Raw genomic sequence first — 18,406 nt, 5'->3', positions numbered from 1 at the left:
AAATAAAAACAGGGTTTCACTTTGTTGCGCAGGCTGGAATGCAGTGGTCCCATGATAGCTCACTGTAGCCTCGATTTCCTGGGGTCAAGTGATTCTCCTCCTTCAGTCTCCTGAGTATCTTAGAACTACGGGGACATGCCACCACGCCTTGCTAATTTCATAAATTTTTTGTAGAGATAGGGTCATGTGTTACCCAGGCTGGTCTTTTTTTTTTTTTTTTTTTTTTTTTTTTGAGACGGAGTTTCGCTTCCAGGCTGGATTGCAATGGCACGATCTTGGCTCACTGCAACCTCTGCCTCCTGGGTTCAAGTGATTCTCTTGCCTCAGCCTCCTCAGTAGCTGGGATTACAGGCATGCGCCACCACGACCGGCTAATTATGTATTTTTAGTAGAGACAGGGTTCCTCCATGTTGGTCAGACTGATCTCAAACTCCTGAGCTCAGGTGATCCGCCTGCCTCAGCTTCCCAAAGTGCTGGGATTACAGGCGTGAACTGCAGTGCCTGGCCCTGTTTAAGTGTTTATTATAAGAACTGCACTGGGTTAAGTTTTGGGGAAGAAAAGAAGGGGGTGAATTAGAAGCCAAATATGAGCCTGGCACGGTGGCTCATGCCTGTAATCCCAGCACTTTGGGAGGCTGAGGCGGGCGGATCACCTGAGTTCAGGAGTTGGAGACCAGCCTGACCAACAAGGAGAAACCCCGTCTCTACTAAAAATACAAAACTAGCCAGTCATGGGGGAGTGCCTGTAATCCCAGGTACTCTGGAGGCTGAGGCAAGAGAATCGCTTGAACCCGGGAGGTGGAGGTTGCGGTAAGCCAAGATCGCACCATTGCACTCCTGCCTGGGCAACAAGAGTGAAACTCCATCTCAAAAAAAAAAAAAAAAAAAAAAAAAGCCAAATATGAGTTTCTAATTCTTGAAGAGGAGAAGACAGGAGGAAAAGAGGAAAGACATAAATGAAGGTAAAGTTAAACAATACAAAATATTTAAATAACAGCTCAAGAGGACAAATATTATGAAACAATGCATATATGGACAATTTTTTTTTTAGAGACGGAGTTTCGCTCTTGTTGCCCAGGCTGTAGCGCAATGGTGTGATCTCAGCTCACTGCAACCTCCAACTCCCAGGTTCAAGTGTTTCTCCTGCCTCAGCCTCCCAAGTAGCTGGGATTACAGTACCCACCACCATGCCCAGCTAATTTTTGTATTTTTTAGTAGAGACAGGGTTTCACCCTGTTGGCCAGGGTGGTCCTGAACTCCTGACTGTTGGAAACAAGCCCCCCCCAAAATCTGGCCATAAACTGGCCCCAAAACTGGCCATAAACAAAATCTCTGCAGCACTGTGACATATTCATGATGGCCATAATGCCCCGCTGGAAGGTTGTGGGTTTACTGGAATGAGGGCAAGGAACACCTGGCCCACCCAGGGCGGAAAACCGCTTAAAGGCGTTCTTAAACCACAAACAATAGCATGAGCGATCTGTGCCTTAAGGACATGCTCCTGCTGCAGATAACTAGCCCAACCCATCCCTTTATCTCTGCCCATCCCTTTGTTTCCCATAAGGGATACTTTCAGTTAATCTAATATCTATAGAAACAATGCTAATGACTGGCTTGCTGTTGGGTAAATCTCTGTTCCTGGCTCTCAGCTCTGAAGGCTGTGAGACCCCTGATTTCCCACTTCACATCTCTATATTTCTGTGTGTCTTTAATTCCTCTAGTGCCGCTGGGTTAGGGTCTCCCCGACCGAGCTGCTCTCAGCACCTGACTTCAGGTAATCCACCCGTCTCGGCCTCCCAAAGTGCTAGGATTACAGGCATGAGTCACCGCGCCCGGTCTTATGGCCAATTTCTTTTTCTTTTCTTTTTTTTTTTTTTTTGAGATGGAGTCTCGCTCTGTCACCCAGGCTGGAGTGCAGTGGCGCGATCTCGGCTCACTGCAAGCTCCGCCTCCCGGGTTCACGCCATTCTCCTCCCTCAGCCTCCCGAGTAGCTGGGACTACAGGCACCTGCCACCACGCCCGGCTAATTTTTTATGTTTTAAGTAGAGATGGGGTTTCACCGTGTTAGGCAGGATGGTCTCGATCTCCTGACCTCTTGATCCGCCCGCTTCAGCCTCCCAAAGTACTGGGATTGCAGGCGTGAGCCACCGCGCGCGGCTAATGGCCAATTTTTAACTGCTCACTGAACTATGCAGCTGGATGTTGCTTTAAGAATTTAGAGGAGGTCGGGTCTGTTGGCTCACGCCTGTAATCCCTGCACTTTGGGAGGTCAAGGCAGGCCGACAGCTTGGGCCCAGGAGTTCAAGACCAGACTGAGCAACATGGCAGAATCAGCTAAGTGTGCTGGTGCCTGCCTGTGATCCCAGCTGCTCAAGAGACTGAGATGGGAAGATCACTTGAGCCTTGGAGTTGGAGGCTACAGTGAGTCGTGATCGCACCACTGCACACCAGCCTGGGCGACAGAGTGAGACTGTCTCAAAAATAAATAACTTAAAAGAAAATCTCCCTTCGTCTAAATCCTGTCTACTTCCAAGACACACACACACACACACACACACACACACACACACACACACACACACACACACACACACAAAATCTTGGCCGGACGTGGTGGCTCACGCCTGTAATCCCAGCACTTTGGGAAGCCGAGGCGGGCGGATCAACTAAGGTTGGGAGTTCAAGATGAGCCTGACCAACATGGAGAAACCACGTCTTTACTAAAAATACAAAATTAGCTGGGCGCGGTGGCGCATGCCTGTAATCCCAGTTACTTGGGAGGCTGAGGAAGGAGAATCGCTTGAACCCGGGAGGCGGAGGTTGCAGTGAGCCGAAATCACACCATTGCACTGCAGCCTGGGCAATAAGAGCGAAACTCCGTCTCAAAAATAAATAAAGAAATAAAAGCTGAATCACAACATCTTCCTCTGAAGTGTTGTTGTGACGTTAAAAATGAGATAATAGGCTGGGTGGGTCACGCCTTGTAATCCCAGTACTTTGGGAGGCCCATCACTTTGAGACTAGGAGTCCGAGATCAGCCTGGGTAACATGGCTGAGATAACGACTATAAAGTGAATGGCACATAGTAAGTGGTTAGCTAATGTTTGACTCAGCCCCACTCTTCAGTGATCCTTGTGGGCATTTCTTCACAAAGTTGCAAGGTATTTCTGTAGTCCTCTCTCCAGTATTTTTCAGTATTTGTTCTAGCACACACTAGGTCTTCCACAAAAATGATTGAATGAAAACTCCTGGCAGCGGGAAAGCGGGGTGGGGATGTGGGGAGGGGCACCCCAACACAAACACACAGAAAATGCTACTACAGAACATCGGTTACTGGGCAGCGGTACATTTCAGAACCCCTAGGGTGCCCTCACATCCTGCCTGGCTGGCCTGCTTCAAACGGTTCATTTAACCAAGGTCATACTAAAATGTTGGCTGCTACTAAAATCCAGGAACCTTCACTTTTCCCAGATAAGAGAGACAGTTGCTCTATTAGTATGGGCAGCGGTAGGCCCAAAAGATCCCGCCTTCCTCCACAGGGCGAGCCTATCAGCGCTCCTCCAGCGATGAACGACAGCTCTCCAGGAGCCAATGAGTTCCTCCCCCTGGAAGGAACCCGCCCATCCCTTGTGTCGTCACTAGATCTCTTAAAAAGATGGACCCTCAGCGGCGCTTCCTCGTAGCGAGCCTAGTGGCGGGTGTTTGCATTGAAACGTGAGCGCGACCCGACCTTAAAGAGTGGGGAGCAAAGGGAGGACAGAGCCCTTTAAAACGAGGCGGGTGGTGCCTGCCCCTTTAAGGGCGGGGCGTCCGGACGACTGTATCTGAGCCCCAGACTGCCCCGAGTTTCTGTCGCAGGCTGCGAGGAAAGGCCCCTAGGCTGGGTCTGGGTGCTTGGCGGCGGCGGCTTCCTCCCCGCTCGTCCTCCCCGGGCCCAGAGGCACCTCGGCTTCAGTCATGCTGAGCAGAGTATGGAAGCACCTGACTACGAAGTGCTATCCGTGCGAGAACAGCTATTCCACGAGAGGATCCGCGAGTGTATTGTGAGTGCGGGGCCCCGGCGAGGAGAAGCGGGGGTTGCGGGAGACGGGGAGGTTGGGGTCCGAGCCCACCTGGTCTCAGAGTGCCGTCAAACCATGCCTGGGCCAGCGGCGGGCGACGGAGGCCTCCGTCCGGGCAGAAGGGCGGGTGCCCGGCTAGCGATCCCCTAGATGGGATCAGCTGGGTCCCTGAGCGATAAACAAAGGCCGTCGTTTCCGTTCCTCCCCCACACGCCCCTCCCCTGCCCCTCCCTCCCACCCCTCACCCAGCGCGTCTTCCTGTTGGGGGTCTCCGGGGTCTGAGAGCCTGCGGAGTCTGCCTTAGTCTGATAATCGGGGAAGGATGGGTTTGCTTCTCAAACTGGGTTGAGGGCAAACTCAGCTGACGTTGGATGAAGGGGAGACGTCGTCACACTGAGCTTGATTCCAGAAAAGAGGGGAGGTGTAGGGATGGCAGACGGGAGGAACCTGGGGACTTGGTGGGTCATCTGCTTTGGAAGAAAGGAGTCTTGCTGGGGTGGATCCTAATATGTAGAGATGAGGAACAACCAAGTATTCCCCCGTCTTTTTTCTTTCTCATTGGTGTTTGTTTGAAACCCTGCAAGGCTGGGTTCCCAGCCTCTCAGCCATTCCGGGGTTTCCCCAGTGAGTGGTCCTCCCAGGGCTTCAGAGGGTACCTGGCTGCTGTTCCTTACGCCCTCCCTGCCACTTAGAGCGACAACTGAACCTTGCGCACAGAAGTGGACTACTCAATTCTGGGGTAGGGGTACCCAGTGGAGCTTAGGGTGTCATATCTTTCTCAGCCTTGCTTTGAATTTTCACCTCTCTCCTTTCTCCTGTGTCCTTCCCCAGAGCTCACCAGGGCAACCCTCATCTCCAGATAGTAAATGGAAAGGGAATGGTTTGGAAAAACAGAAAGAAATGTTAGTAAGTGTGGGAATCCATTGTTGGGGTCATTCCCTTCATTTTTCTCAGGCTGGGCTCTAGCCAGCCCTGGGCAGCCTGATTGGAGGAGGGGTAAATTGAGCCAGGACATAATTAGGTCTGCTCTTATCTGTGAGGACAGGAAAGTATATTAGTCTGTGTGTGCAACTCCAGTAGAAGTGTGCTTTCGGCAAGCCTTCCTTGTGTGTTTCTTGGTGGACAGTCCACATGGTGGGTTGGGCATATTGCAGAGGCACACCCAGGCCTTGAGACAGTGTCGGGCTGGAGGCTCAAATTCCTAGAGAACAGGGAGGGATGAGACCTTGGACAGAAGCAGCCTCCTGGATGTCTCCCTAATCCTTTAGTCCCATGAGCTGAGAACATCAGTGCTGGCTAAGGGTAGCCTGAAGACTTATGGTGCCTCCCCCACCTGGCTCTCATCTAGAGGCTAGAGAGCAGCCTAGCTTCTTGGAACTGCGTGGAACTCCAGCCTGACCTTTTGAGCCCTCCCACCTTCCTGGCTATTACGCAAGCCCAGAGCAGAACACAGGCTATAAAAATCTTGCAGCTACAATCTGAGTGGCTCCTTCTGTTCTGCTTCCCTAATATCAAAAGCTATGACTTTGTTCTAGATCGATGGCTCTCCTGCGTCTCTGTGGATTCTTCCCTCCTTGTACAGATAGCTGTATGTGTTTTCCTTGTGGGGTCAGCCCTTTCTGGAGACTGGAAGACCCATGAGACTGATCTTGTATTCTTGGCCTATCTCAAACACAATAACTTCTCTTCTTGAGACTCTCTGGTGTTTTTTTTGTTTTGTTTAGTTTTGTTTTTGACCTAGTCTCACTCTGTCGCCCAGGCTGGAGTGCAGTGGCGTTATCTCTGCTCACTGCAACCTCCGCCTCCCAGGTTCTAGTGATTCTTGTACCTCAGCCTCCCGAGTAGCTGGGATTACAGGCACCTGCCACCACACACGGCCTTTTTTTTTTTTTTTTTTTTTTTTTGAGACTCAGTCTTGCTCTGTTGCCAGAGCTGGAGTGCAGTGGCACAATCTCGGCTCACTACAACCTCCGCCTCCCGGGTTCAAGCAATTCTCCTGCCTCAGCCTCTCAAGTAGCTGAGACTACAGGTGCATGCCACCACGCCTGGCTAATTTTTGTATTTTTAGTAGAGACAGGGTTTCGCCATGTTGGCCAGGATGGTCTTGATCTCTTGACCTCGTGATCCTCCCGCCTCGGCCTCCCAAAATGCTGGGATTATAGGCGTGAGCCACTGCGCCCAGCCAATTTTTGTAATTTTTTTTGAGATGGAGTCTTGCTCTGTCACCCAGGCTAGAGTGCAGTGGCGCCATCACAGCTCACTGCAACCTCCACCTCCTGAATTCAAGTGATTCTCCTGCCTCAGCCTCTTGAGTAGCTGGGATTACAGGTATGCACCACCACACCCAGCTAATTTTTGTTTTTTTAGTAGAGATGGGGTTCCACCATGTTGGTCAGGCTGGTCTTGAACTCCTGACCTCATGATCCTCCCACTGTGGCCTCCCAAAGTGCTGAGATTACAGGCGTGAGCCTCAACGCCCAGCCCAATTTTTGTATTTTTAATAGAGACGGGGTTTCACCATGTTGGCCAGGCTAGTCTTGAACTCCTGACCTCAAGTGATTCATCTGCCTCGGCCTCCCAAAGTGCTGGGATTACAGGTATGAGCCACAGTGCCTGGCGGAGACTCTCTGTTCTTGATTATAGAGCCAAGCTGGCCAATGGCTCCTCCTCTGGGCAGCAGCAGCTTACTTGGAGTAGAGTAGGAATGAATATGCAGATTAACCTGGCTGAGTTCCGCCATCACTGTCACTTGGCAGTCCAGCCAGCTCTAGAAACACTATAGATATTGGGCCCCAGCTAAAGCCCACTGTTAGGGGTAGAGGATTAAATGAGACTCTGGTTTGGCCCAGAGCAGACCTGATCTTTCAGGCCCCTGAATAAGCATGGAATAGAAGTTGTGACTTGGTCTAGAAACATGACACCTTCTTTGGGTCAAGGCAGCAGTGTGCATGGAGGTAGGAGGGTGGGGTAGCAATGGGGTGCCAGGACAATGCAGACGTCTTCCTCCCCTCAAACCTGCTTTCATTCCCAATAATGTGCTCGGAGTAAATTCCCTCTGGTTCTGTAGCTGGTTTGAAATGCGTGTGCATGTGCATTTCTAGGAGTTTTCTTTGCCCATTTACCAACCAGAGTTGGGCTGAAGCTATTTTCTCCCAATGAAGTCCTTGTAGGGCTGGGCATGTTGCTGTTTCCCCAGGTGCATGGGGCAGCCCCTGTCTGGCCCTTCTTTGAGGCCCCTGGGGCCCTGACTAGAAGGAAGTACCTGGGGGATCAGAACAGAACATACTTCCAGATGGAACCCTTGGAAGTATGGAGCCTTATCTTGAGGAAGTGATGGCCTGGAATTAACAGAGAGGCCCTTGGGGCTGTGGAGTGTGCTGAAGGTTAGAGCTTCTCATCCCAGCTCATATTCTGCTACAGATATCAACACTTCTGTTTGCAACACTGTACATCCTCTGCCACATCTTCCTGACCCGCTTCAAGAAGCCTGCTGAGTTCACCACAGGTACTTTGATTTCCCTCCCTCCTGCTAGAGTCCCTGTTGCCATGGACCAGCCTCAGGGGAATGGGCCTATGGTACCCACTGGGAAAGGAGCAGTGGCTGTGTGGGGCTGTTCTGGAGCCTTTGCCTCTTCAGCCTCCCTTTCTGCAAGATAGGGGCAAGGGCGGCTAGATGGATGTGTCTGCTGGGCAAGTCATATAACATTTCTGATCCTCAGTTTCATCCTACAAAATGGGCGTAACAATGTCTACCTACTCCATTGTGTGGACCAAAGGAGATGGTTAATGTGAAAGCCCTTTGTGAACCTGAAGTGAGCAACTGCTGGATGAATGTCATTACGGGCACAGGCTCTGTGTCATCTCCTCTCCTAGTGCTTCCACAGCCAGGACCAGAGACCTCCCTGATGACTGGGGAACCTGGTGATGGTGGCCTTTCTCTTTATGGGGAGCCTGAGTATGCTCAGATCGCAGCTTTCCTTCCCTAGACATTGTGTAATTGGGGGTGGGGGCACACTTGCCCCAGTTCCTAGCTCCAGCCTTTCCTCCTCTTAGGATGGCTCAGGATGAGTCCCCCCTCAACAAGGCAGCTACCCAAGAGTAATTCCCCTGGGGACTTTCTGTGTGAATCTCCCCTTCCCCCTCCTCTCTTTTCCCTTTCCTGGACCCAGCCACTGATGTAACCAACCTCACAGACTAGTTGTTTATTATATTAATAGTTTGAGCATATAAAGAGGAACTTGTGATGGGAGAGATCTAGGGAGGAGTAAAGAAGTATAGGAATGTCTGGCCTGTATTCTCTTCACCTGGGACCACTGATTTTTAAGCTGCCACCTTGGCTGGAGAACAGGCTATGGAGTTCATAATGTGTGGTCTCCTGGAGCCTCCTGTTCAGCTCTGCCTTCTTTGAGGGGGCAGGGATGGGGCAGGGAGCACATTGTAATACTAACGGCCTCAGAGCTGCCCCCTGATGTCCTCCTGCCTGTTCCCCGTGCCTCTGTCTCTTACAGTGGATGATGAAGATGCCACCGTCAACAAGATTGCGTAAGTGTCCCTGCCTCAGCACCTAACATCAGTGGTCTTTAGGAACTGGGATCTAGGGAGGCCTGGAGCTGGAGGGAGAAGGGGGAAGTCTCACACAGTGAAGAGAGAGTTTCTGTTTCCACCCCATTTCTGGCTTCCGGCTTTACCTCACCCTGGGGATGCTCAGAAAAGCTGCTGTTCCTGTCTTCCTGGTTAGGCCAGGAGCTTGTGGGAGCCTCATGGCCAGGAACGTCCGCTGGGGCCTGAGTCACCGGAAATGGCTCCAGCTTGGCTTCACCTCCCAGCGACCAATAGGGAGGGAGTGGAGTGGGGATGCACATTGATGGAAAAAGAGCAGGGTGTGGGGAAGGTGGGAACCCCTGAGGGAGGGGCATGCTTGGTTCTGGGAGAAAGGCCCATATTCCAGGCTGCCAGTGTTCACTGGTACATACAGAAAAAGATAGAGATATGACTCCTTTGAGTCAATAGATCAGAAGGCAGCCCTCCACCCTTGATGGACCAAAGAGCTAGAAGTGCCCATCTTCAATATATGCAGCCCGGGGCATAGACCTTGGCTATGAAGCTAGGTTTCAGTTCCCTCTTGTCCTCCTTTGCCCTCATGCCTTTGTGCAGGGCATAGCCATATGGGATGACCCTGTGCTTATCTGGGCTAAAAGAGGTAAGCTCAGAAATCCATATCCCTGACCAAAGAAGAGAAGCCAGGTCCCCTAGTTTTGGCATCATACCTGGCATAACTGATAGGCATGTATGGGAGGACCACATTCCTGGGGACAGCCTGGGTATGTGACATGGCAGGTGACCAGGTTCCCATGAATGCCCGAGGCTGTGCCCATCCCATGAGCTGGGGCTTCCCTGGAGGTAAAGAGCTAGGGTGGGGTGGCAGTGGGTAGAACCCCAGCTGGACAGCTCCTTCCTTAGCTCTGTGATTGCTACAGCTGGTTCTGGAAGCCACAGGCGCCCTCAGGACAAATGGGGCTTCTTCAGCACAGGGTAGTGAGTGCTGAGCTAAGCAAGGACACTGTCCCCTTCTCTGCCCAGGCTCGAGCTGTGCACCTTTACCCTGGCAATTGCCCTGGGTGCTGTCCTGCTCCTGCCCTTCTCCATCATCAGCAATGAGGTGCTGCTCTCCCTGCCTCGGAACTACTACATCCAGTGGCTCAACGGCTCCCTCATCCATGGTGTGTGGCTCCTGGAAGCTGCTTGGGGTAGGGATAGGGAGCAGAGAGCAGATAGAGTTGGGTGGACTCAGGCAGCCGTGCGCCAAGCAGTCATATGTCGCACCTTCCCACTCTGCTTCTCCTGCAAATGGTCAGTCTCCTGTGGGTTGCCCCTCCCCTTACTGACCACTTCTGCTCTTCCTTTTTTGCTCTAGGCCTCTGGAACCTTGTTTTTCTCTTCTCCAACCTGTCCCTCATCTTCCTCATGCCCTTTGCATATTTCTTCACTGAGTCTGAGGGCTTTGCTGGCTCCAGAAAGGTAAGTAGGGGATATGTATCCAGGCAGGAAACGGAATTCCACACACATGGTTCAGCTGAAGAGATTTTAATAAAGAGGCTATTTGCAGAGGTTTAGTTAACGGAAGTTTGAGGCTCTAGTGACAGTAGGAAGTCATTACCACCCTTAGGCCTGTAGGGACAAAGGGAGGAAATGGTTTCTAGAACCCACTAATAGCTGAAGCCAGGGATGTGAAGCTGCCCAGAGAGGAGCTGTTGTCTTAGTGTCATAATCACTGCCAAAACCATGGTGGCAGACGTGGGAGGACTCACAGGAAACATACCCTCACCTTTTTTCTACCTTCCATTCTCCTGTTGGATGCGAAACCAGAGGGCAAAGAGCTTGTGGGATGCAGACCTCGGAGGTCAGCCTCCCAGAGCACACAATGACAAGGAATAGGTCTGGGGAAAGGAGATGCAAATGAAGAACACCTGGTATGTGGGGTGACCTTAGACTGGGGAGTGGGAAGACAGAGCAACTTAGCAGAATAAGAGGAAAACCCTCTCTCTTACCTCCTGAATCCAAACCTTTCTGGTTCCTGCAGGCTGCCTGCCATCTCCAATGTTCCCACACTGCCCTGATGTTAACCTTCTTCACTGGTTGCCTCCTCCCGTAGGGTGTCCTGGGCCGGGTCTATGAGACAGTGGTGATGTTGATGCTCCTCACTCTGCTGGTGCTAGGTATGGTGTGGGTGGCATCAGCCATTGTGGACAAGAACAAGGCCAACAGAGAGTCACTCTATGGTGAGCGGCCCAGCTTCCTCCAGGCTGCATGGCTTTTCAGTTGGCCCATGTCCCCCTGCCTGGAATGACTGTAACCTTCTAAAGTGGAAAATGTTGGCACCTTCTCCCTTAGACTGAAGTTTCAAACTGATAGACATCTGGCCAAATGCAATCTGCAGAAATGTTTCATTGGGCCCATGCAATGGTTTTAAAAATATATATTATTCAGTTGCTAACATTTTAAATTGGGAGGTTTCACATTAATATCCAGATATCTAACTTTGTTTGACAAGGAGAAGATCTGGCTACATTAGTCCCTGGTGATGGGGGCCAAATAGCAGTTGTACCCTTTAGTTAGGGGTTAGGATCTCCAGTTTACTATAGGCCCTGCCACTCCCTATTCTGCTAATGCTGGCCAGCTTTCTTCATTTGTATTAATTGCCTAACCCCTGTGGGGACTGTGCCCTTGTCTAGACTCTGAGGCCTGTCAGCCTGGGGACAGTAAGTAAGGAGAGATGAGCTGACATGCCTCTTTTTTTTATCCTTAGACTTTTGGGAGTACTATCTCCCCTACCTCTACTCATGCATCTCCTTCCTTGGGGTTCTGCTGCTCCTGGGTGAGTGTACAGGGTCTGGGAGGGAATGGGCAGGGTCCTTGGACCAGAGTAACCAGGCTAGAAGGAAAGGGAATGGGGGGCATGTTAGGGAAGGGGTGGAGAGCAGGGTCTGGCAAGTGACTGGCTCTTGTCCCTACAGTGTGTACTCCACTGGGTCTCGCCCGCATGTTCTCCGTCACTGGGAAGCTGCTAGTCAAGCCCCGGGTATGTGGTATTCCTTGCTCTTTGATCCTGCAGGGTGAGCTTCCTGCAGAGCTGGAACCAAACAATGAAACAACCCTATGGTTGTGTAGTACACAACTTGCAGAGAGCTACAGCCTTTGTTGGTTCCTGTATTCTGTACCCCTATCATGCAGAGCTGGTCACTAGACATGCAGGGCAGAATACAGGGCAATTGGGAGGGACTGAGCAAAGCTGCGGGCCACAGGGTGGTGAATGAGGGTCTGGGGGAAGCCTGGGACTACGGAGCCCTGGGAAGAACAGGGTTCTCCTGGGGCCTTTGGGTCAGGGAGCCTCTGACAGTTAGTCTCTTCCTTTCCCCTGCCCCTAGCTGCTGGAAGACCTGGAGGAGCAGCTGTACTGCTCAGCCTTTGAGGAGGCAGCCCTGACCCGCAGGATCTGTAGTAAGTTGCAGTTCTTCCCTGCTGGGGTGGTAGGCTTGGCCTGGGCAGAAACTGCAGGACTTGAGAGCAACACCATCTTCTCTGCCCTCAGATCCTACTTCCTGCTGGCTGCCTTTAGACATGGAGCTGCTACACAGACAGGTCCTGGCTCTGCAGACACAGAGGGTCCTGCTGGGTATGTGGCTTCGTAGGGCTTGGGATACCTGGGTTTCCCCAAGGAGAGTAGCCCCTGGTTCCAGGTGCTTGCTGACAGCCTCCCATCCCTGCACAGAGAAGAGGCGGAAGGCTTCAGCCTGGCAACGGAACCTGGGCTACCCCCTGGCTATGCTGTGCTTGCTGGTGCTGACGGTAGGTATACCAGCCCTAGAGGTGAGGAGTGGACCCTCAGTACTTGAGGCCTTCTCAGGGAGAGGGGAGGCAATGCAGGGACCTGGTTATCATCAGTAATAGTGGTTGCTTCTCACTGAGTGCCTACTTTTATGTCCTGCCTGTGGTGAGCACAAATGTTGAGCACATCAATCCCCATTTTGTAGACGAAGAGACAGAGTTGAGTGACTTGCCCAAAGACACAGGGCCAGTGAGGAGTTGTGCAGGTTTGCCCTGGCATTAAAATAATAAACATTGAAATTCAGTCGATTCCCCTATGGACTCAGTTATAGATCTCATCAGTTGAAGGAAGAGAGATGCCTTTTCCTATTCAGCCTTTTTGCAATCCTTCCATCTAGAGGAGATGTATCTTATAATATCCTCAAAGGCACTCTGTTGCTAATAGCAGCCTTGATGAGGTCCCATATAGCTCATTGGAAGCAGAGCTAGTCTTGGAAACTGAAAATGTTGGACCAGAGTCTGCCCATTCCTTTAGCTCTGGGTCCAGCTGTGGTCTGGGGTGGAATGGGAGTCTGACCTTGCCTCACACAGGGCCTGTCTGTGCTCATTGTGGCCATCCACATCCTGGAGCTGCTCATCGATGAGGCTGCCATGCCCCGAGGCATGCAGGTACCAGGCTGCCCTCCCACCATATCCTTTGGGGAGGGCCTAAGAACAGCTGGGGAGAGGAGGCAGAAGCTGAGGACAGTGGGAAGGCTGGGTGCCGGGTAGTGCTGATGGTGGGGAATGCTCACAGTGATACTGCCCCACTCCTCAGGGTACCTCCTTAGGCCAGGTCTCCTTCTCCAAGCTGGGCTCCTTTGGTGCCGTCATTCAGGTTGTACTCATCTTGTATCCTTCTGGAAACCCATCATTGCCTCTGTTCAGCAAACCTGTCTCCTGGGACTCTAGACCGAGCACTTCTTGGACTTTGTCTCCTTTGGGACTCTGAGCAACGCTGATGGGAAGTGGGGCAAGTTTTCATCAACCTCAGGTTCAGAAAGAAGGAAAAGACTTAATTTGAAAGGAGGGCTGGTGGTTCAGTAGAATCTGATCAGAAGAAAATAAAAAGAGGCCAGGTGCAGTGGCTCACACCTGTAATCCTAGCACTTTGGGAGGCTGAGGCGGGTAGATTGCTTGAGTTTAGGATTTCAAGACCAGCCTGAGCAACATGGTGAAACCCGGCCTCTACAAAAAGTACAAAAAATTAGCCAGACGTGGTGGTGCGTGCTTGCATTCCCAGCTACGTGGGAGGCTGACGTGGGAAGATCGCTTAAGCCCAGAAGGTCAAGGTTGCAGTGAGCTGAAATCGCACCACTGCACTCCAGCCTGGGTGACAAAGTGAGACCCTGTCTCAAAAAAAAAAAAAGAAGTGGGCTGGGAGAGAGCTCTGTTCCCTTTGAGATGAGTTATTAATTCTTGGAGCCAGCCAGTTCTTCCTTAATGCAGTGGCAGTTACCTAATGGTGTCCTCAGTTGTGGGCTTCTATAGCTCTCCACTCTTCCGGAGCCTGCGGCCCAGATGGCACGACACTGCCATGACGCAGGTAGCTGGGAGGGAGTAAGGGAAGCTCCCGGGGGGTGTGGATGGGCACTAGGTGCCTGCAGCTCTTCCACCCTCACCTCTCCTTTCCCTGCTTCCACCCAGATAATTGGGAACTGTGTCTGTCTCCTGGTCCTAAGCTCAGCACTTCCTGTCTTCTCTCGAACCCTGGGTAAGTATTGAAAGGAGGAGATAAAGGAATTGGATTTTTTTGAGTACTTACTGATGCAAAGCAGGCACTTTATATACATAATTTCTCTAATTCCCACAACAAACCCATGAGTAGGTATTATCCGCATTATACAGATGAGGAAAGCAAGGCTCTGTAAAGTGCCTACACTGAGCTTCAGGGTCAAAGTACATACTTTTTACATTTGCTACATCCCACTGCCTCTCATTTACTTCTACTTTTTGGTCAGGGAGCACACTTTTCTAAATCTTTCTCCTGGGTGAATAATCTAGTAAATGTTCCTATTTGAAAGACAATAAACAGAGAAGCTACCTGATTAACCCAGATTATACAGCTGGCTTGAGGCAAGGTCAAGTCAGTCTAGGACCCTTGTCTCCTGAACCCCAGGCTAGTGCTTTCTCTATACACTGGTGTGTCAGATAATAAACTCACTCCTTCTCCTGCCTTTAGAGCTATATCTAGAATTAACTGGTTAAAAAGTTCAAGAGTGGCTGGGCGCAGTGGCTCATGCCTGTAATCCCAGCACTTTGGGAGGCCAAGGCGGGCGGATCACCTGAGGTCAGGATTTCGAGACCAGCCTGAGCAACATGGAGAAACCCCATCTCTACTAAAAATACAAAATTAGCCAGGTGTGGTGGTGCATGCCTGTAGTCCCAGCTACTCGGGAAGCTGAGGCAGGAGAATCACTTGAACCCGGGAGGCAAAGGTTGCGGTGAGCTGAGCTCACGCCATTGCACTCCAGCCTGGGCAACAAGAGCGAATCTTCATCTCAAAAAAAAAAAAAAAAAGTTCAAGAGTGTAACTAGTTCACCCCAAGGTAGTGTGTGAGCTGCAGAGGTAACAGCCGCCCTCCTACCTCCCCCTAAATACCACATCATCCTCTGTATTTTATATGTGATTTCATATTTAAGTCAGTTCTGGGGCCAGGCCTGGTGGCTCACGTCTGTAATCTCACACTTTGGGAGGCCAAGGTGGACAGATCAGCTTGAGGCCAGGAGGTCAAGACCGGCCTAGCCAACATGGTGAAACCCCATCTTTATGAAAAATATAAAAATTAGCCAGGTATGGTGGCACATGCCTGTAATCTCAGCTGAGGCATGAGAATTGCTGAGCTTGGGAGGTGGCTGAGGCATGAGAATTGCTTGAGCTTGGGAGGTGGAGGTTGCAGCGAGCCAAGATGGTACCACTGCACTCCAGCCTGGGTGACAGAGCGAGACTCTGTCTCAGAAAAAAAAAAAAAAAAAAATCAGCTGTGAGCCAGGCCTGGTGGTTCACGCCTGTAATCCTAGCACTTTGGGAGGCCAAGGTGGGAGGATCACTTGAGGCCAGGAGTCCTAGACCAGCTTGAGCAATATAGTGAGACCCCATCTCTACCAAAAAAAAAAAAAAAAGTGTTTTTAATTAGCACACCTATAGTCCTAGCTATGTGTGAGACTGAGGCAGGAGGATTGCTTGGGCCCAGGAGTTTGAGGCTGCAGTGAGCTAAGACTGTGCCACTGCACTCCAACCTGGGCAACAGAGCAAGACCCTGTCTTAAGACAAAACCAAATTAAACAAAACAAAAAACAGCTCTATTTCATTCTTAACGTTATATTATTTCCACTCTACCATTTGTATTTATGCCAGGAGAATTTGTAAGAAAGTAGGTTTGTGGGTCTTCCAGTTAGTTCCTTTAGGGTGGATGCAGGTAAGAATATTTAAAGGTGGAGAGCAGAGTTTTTTGATTTATGATAATATTATGAGGGGACCAGTAAATGTTAGAATAGTGCCTGGCACAGACAGTGCTTTATGTGTGTTGTCTCATTTAATTCTTAGGAAACTGAGGCACAGAAAATTTAAGGAAATTGCCCCAGATCACGCAGCTAGTTAGGGGTGGAGTTGGGATATGAACCAAAGCAGCCTGATGAGTATGAGCGCCCAGCAACCACACTGTTCTGTCTACTAAAAAAAACTTGGCAAACTGCTTATTCCAGGCCCAGGAACAAGTAGTAGGCCCTGGGAGTTCCTGGGGACACCAGGAGCCAGAGGAGGCCTCACTGGAGGAGAAGATACCAGACTCTGGAAGCGAAGTTGAAGCAAGCCTAGCTGCTGGCACTTAGAACAGTCCCGAACTGCTCTTGAGACAGCTTGGGTGGTAGAATTGGGAGAGGCCAACCTATCAGTTGCAGTGTTGAAATGTGGCCACCAGGAGGCAGCAGAAAGTTGGGCTGGTAGCAGAAAAGGGCCTGGGGAGCCCACCTCTCATCCTGGCCTTTGTGCTTCAGGGCTCACTCGCTTTGACCTGCTGGGTGACTTTGGACGCTTCAACTGGCTGGGCAATTTCTACATTGTGTTCCTCTACAACGCAGCCTTTGCAGGCCTCACCACACTCTGTCTGGTGAAGACCTTCACTGCAGCTGTGCGGGCAGAGCTGATCCGGGCCTTTGGTGAGAGGGAGTGAGGGTGCAGGCTAGTGGGGGGTGGTAATCATCTAGGACACTCTGGAACATGGATCACCCCAGCAGGGGAGAGGGTGTGCTTCCTGCTTTGTGGGTAACGTACCTCATCCACACATTCTGTGGCTTGGCTGCCTGGTCCCTAACGGACTGGACCTTTGACTTGCTTTTGACTGCCCATCTCCTCTTCTCCAGGGCTGGACAGACTGCCGCTGCCCGTCTCCGGTTTCCCCCAGGCATCTAGGAAGACCCAGCACCAGTGACCTCCAGCTGGGGGTGGGAAGGAAAAAACTGGACACTGCCATCTGCTGCCTAGGCCTGGAGGGAAGCCCAAGGCTACTTGGACCTCAGGACCTGGAATCTGAGAGGGTGGGTGGCAGAGGGGAGCAGAGCCATCTGCACTATTGCATAATCTGAGCCAGAGTTTGGGACCAGGACCTCCTGCTTTTCCATACTTAACTGTGGCCTCAGCATGGGGTAGGGCTGGGTGACTGGGTCTAGCCCCTGATCCCAAATCTGTTTACACATCAATCTGCCTCACTGCTGTTCTGGGCCATCCCCATAGCCATGTTTACATGATTTGATGTGCAATAGGGTGGGGTAGGGGCAGGGAAAGGACTGGGCCAGGGCAGGCTCGGGAGATAGATTGTCTCCCTTGCCTCTGGCCCAGCAGAGCCTAAGCACTGTGCTATCCTGGAGGGGCTTTGGACCACCTGAAAGACCAAGGGGATAGGGAGGAGGAGGCTTCAGCCATCAGCAATAAAGTTGATCCCAGGGTTTGCTTTGTTTTTTTAAAGCACCTGTCTCTGTGTATATTTGAACAGCCTTGCTCCCACCAGCCCGGCGTCTGCCCAGTAAGAGAAGCAGAGGGGTCCTGCCCACCATCCTTTTCCTTCCCCTTCATCTATATTATTACCATCCTTTGGGGACTTGGATCTGGTGTTAGGCCATGCAGTTGGGCAGTGGGAAACTCCTCCATCCTCAGTCTTGCTTAAAGCTGGCTTGTCCCCTGACTCCTCCTTATATTCATGGCCTTGTTTCTGTACCTTGAGTATTGGGGGTAGGACATGGGCATAGGAGTAGGCTAACCTCCCCGATACACTCATACCTTCAGCCCTATCCTCCCTGGCTTAACTATTGGATATAGAGTAAAATAAGTGGCTGGCTGACAAGGATTTTCATTTCCTACCTGAGAGAAGAATCTAGCTTTTTACTAGAGGCCATCAGTTTCTTGAAAAGCCCATGTGCTATGTTGGGAGTAAGAGCGCAAAACTTAGGCTTATACAGATTGTGTATTGCACAGCTTCCAGGGACACCATTCACCTCATAGTCATTGTGTGGATAGTTACTATGATAGTTTTCTAATAAATGTCAGTCATCTTGAGGAAGGGGTGCTTTTTTTTTCTTTTTTCTTCTTCTTTTTTTTTTTTTTTTTTTTGTGAGACAAGGTCTGGCTCTATCACCCTGGCTGGAGTGCAGTGGTGCAATCTCAGCTCACTGCAACCTCCGCATTCTGGGCTCAAGCCATTCTTCCAGCTCAGGCTCCAGAATAGCTAGGACAACAGACACATGCTACCATGCCTGGCTAATTTTTGTATTTTTAGTAGAGATGGGGTTTTGCCATGTTGCCTGGGCTGGTCTTGAACTCCTGAGCTCAAGTGATCCACCTACCTTGGACTCCCCAAATGATGGAATTACAGGGGTTAGCCACAACACCCAGCCATCTTTTTTTTGGGGGGGGGGGTCCTCACTCTGTCACCCAGGTTAGAGTGCAGTGGCATGATCTTAGCTCACTCTACAGCCTTGAACTCTT

General features: G+C 51.0%; 1 protein-coding gene across 18 annotated transcripts, besides 2 other annotated features; it reads left to right on the top strand.

Moving 5' to 3' along the window:
• Positions 2,935-3,115: a silencer, noted in NCBI's record as "fragment chr12:49505196-49505376 (GRCh37/hg19 assembly coordinates)". NCBI's record gives its function as "represses an EF-1alpha promoter that drives an FKBP-Casp9 reporter gene in an ReSE screen in HepG2 liver carcinoma cells {active_cell/tissue: HepG2}" and the evidence as "EXISTENCE:reporter gene assay evidence [ECO:0000049][PMID:32094911]".
• LMBR1L (limb development membrane protein 1 like) lies at positions 3,681-17,389 on the top strand. Of its 18 annotated transcripts, NM_001300750.2 has the most exons (18): positions 3,681-4,044; positions 7,483-7,567; positions 7,782-7,983; positions 8,571-8,604; positions 9,643-9,782; positions 9,977-10,080; positions 10,715-10,841; positions 11,369-11,437; positions 11,577-11,641; positions 11,988-12,060; positions 12,152-12,235; positions 12,332-12,408; positions 12,979-13,056; positions 13,205-13,278; positions 13,882-13,972; positions 14,074-14,140; positions 16,423-16,584; positions 16,789-17,389. In NM_001300750.2, exons 3-18 carry the CDS (start codon positions 7,842-7,844, stop codon positions 16,854-16,856), a joined length of 1,455 nt encoding a protein of 484 aa, NP_001287679.1. In that variant the 5' UTR covers positions 3,681-4,044; positions 7,483-7,567; positions 7,782-7,841; the 3' UTR covers positions 16,857-17,389. The 18 variants fall into 18 exon arrangements, 17 of the variants coding, with proteins under 17 accessions (NP_001287679.1, NP_001339094.1, NP_001287680.1 ...); NM_001352165.2 differs by lacking the exons at positions 7,782-7,983; positions 8,571-8,604 and having other exon boundaries at positions 3,681-3,715; positions 3,860-4,044; NM_001300751.2 differs by lacking the exon at positions 7,782-7,983 and having other exon boundaries at positions 13,265-13,278.
• Positions 3,973-4,512: an enhancer, noted in NCBI's record as "H3K27ac hESC enhancer chr12:49503799-49504338 (GRCh37/hg19 assembly coordinates)". NCBI's record gives its function as "activates a minimal SCP1, AML or CMV promoter by ChIP-STARR-seq in primed H9 embryonic stem cells {active_cell/tissue: H9 hESC(primed)}" and the evidence as "EXISTENCE:reporter gene assay evidence [ECO:0000049][PMID:30033119]".

Source organism: Homo sapiens, chromosome 12, assembly GCF_000001405.40.
Source record: "Homo sapiens chromosome 12, GRCh38.p14 Primary Assembly".
Taxonomy (NCBI): Eukaryota; Metazoa; Chordata; class Mammalia; order Primates; family Hominidae; genus Homo; species Homo sapiens.
Note: the sequence above shows the minus strand (reverse complement) of the source record. Positions and strands in the feature narration are given on the sequence as shown.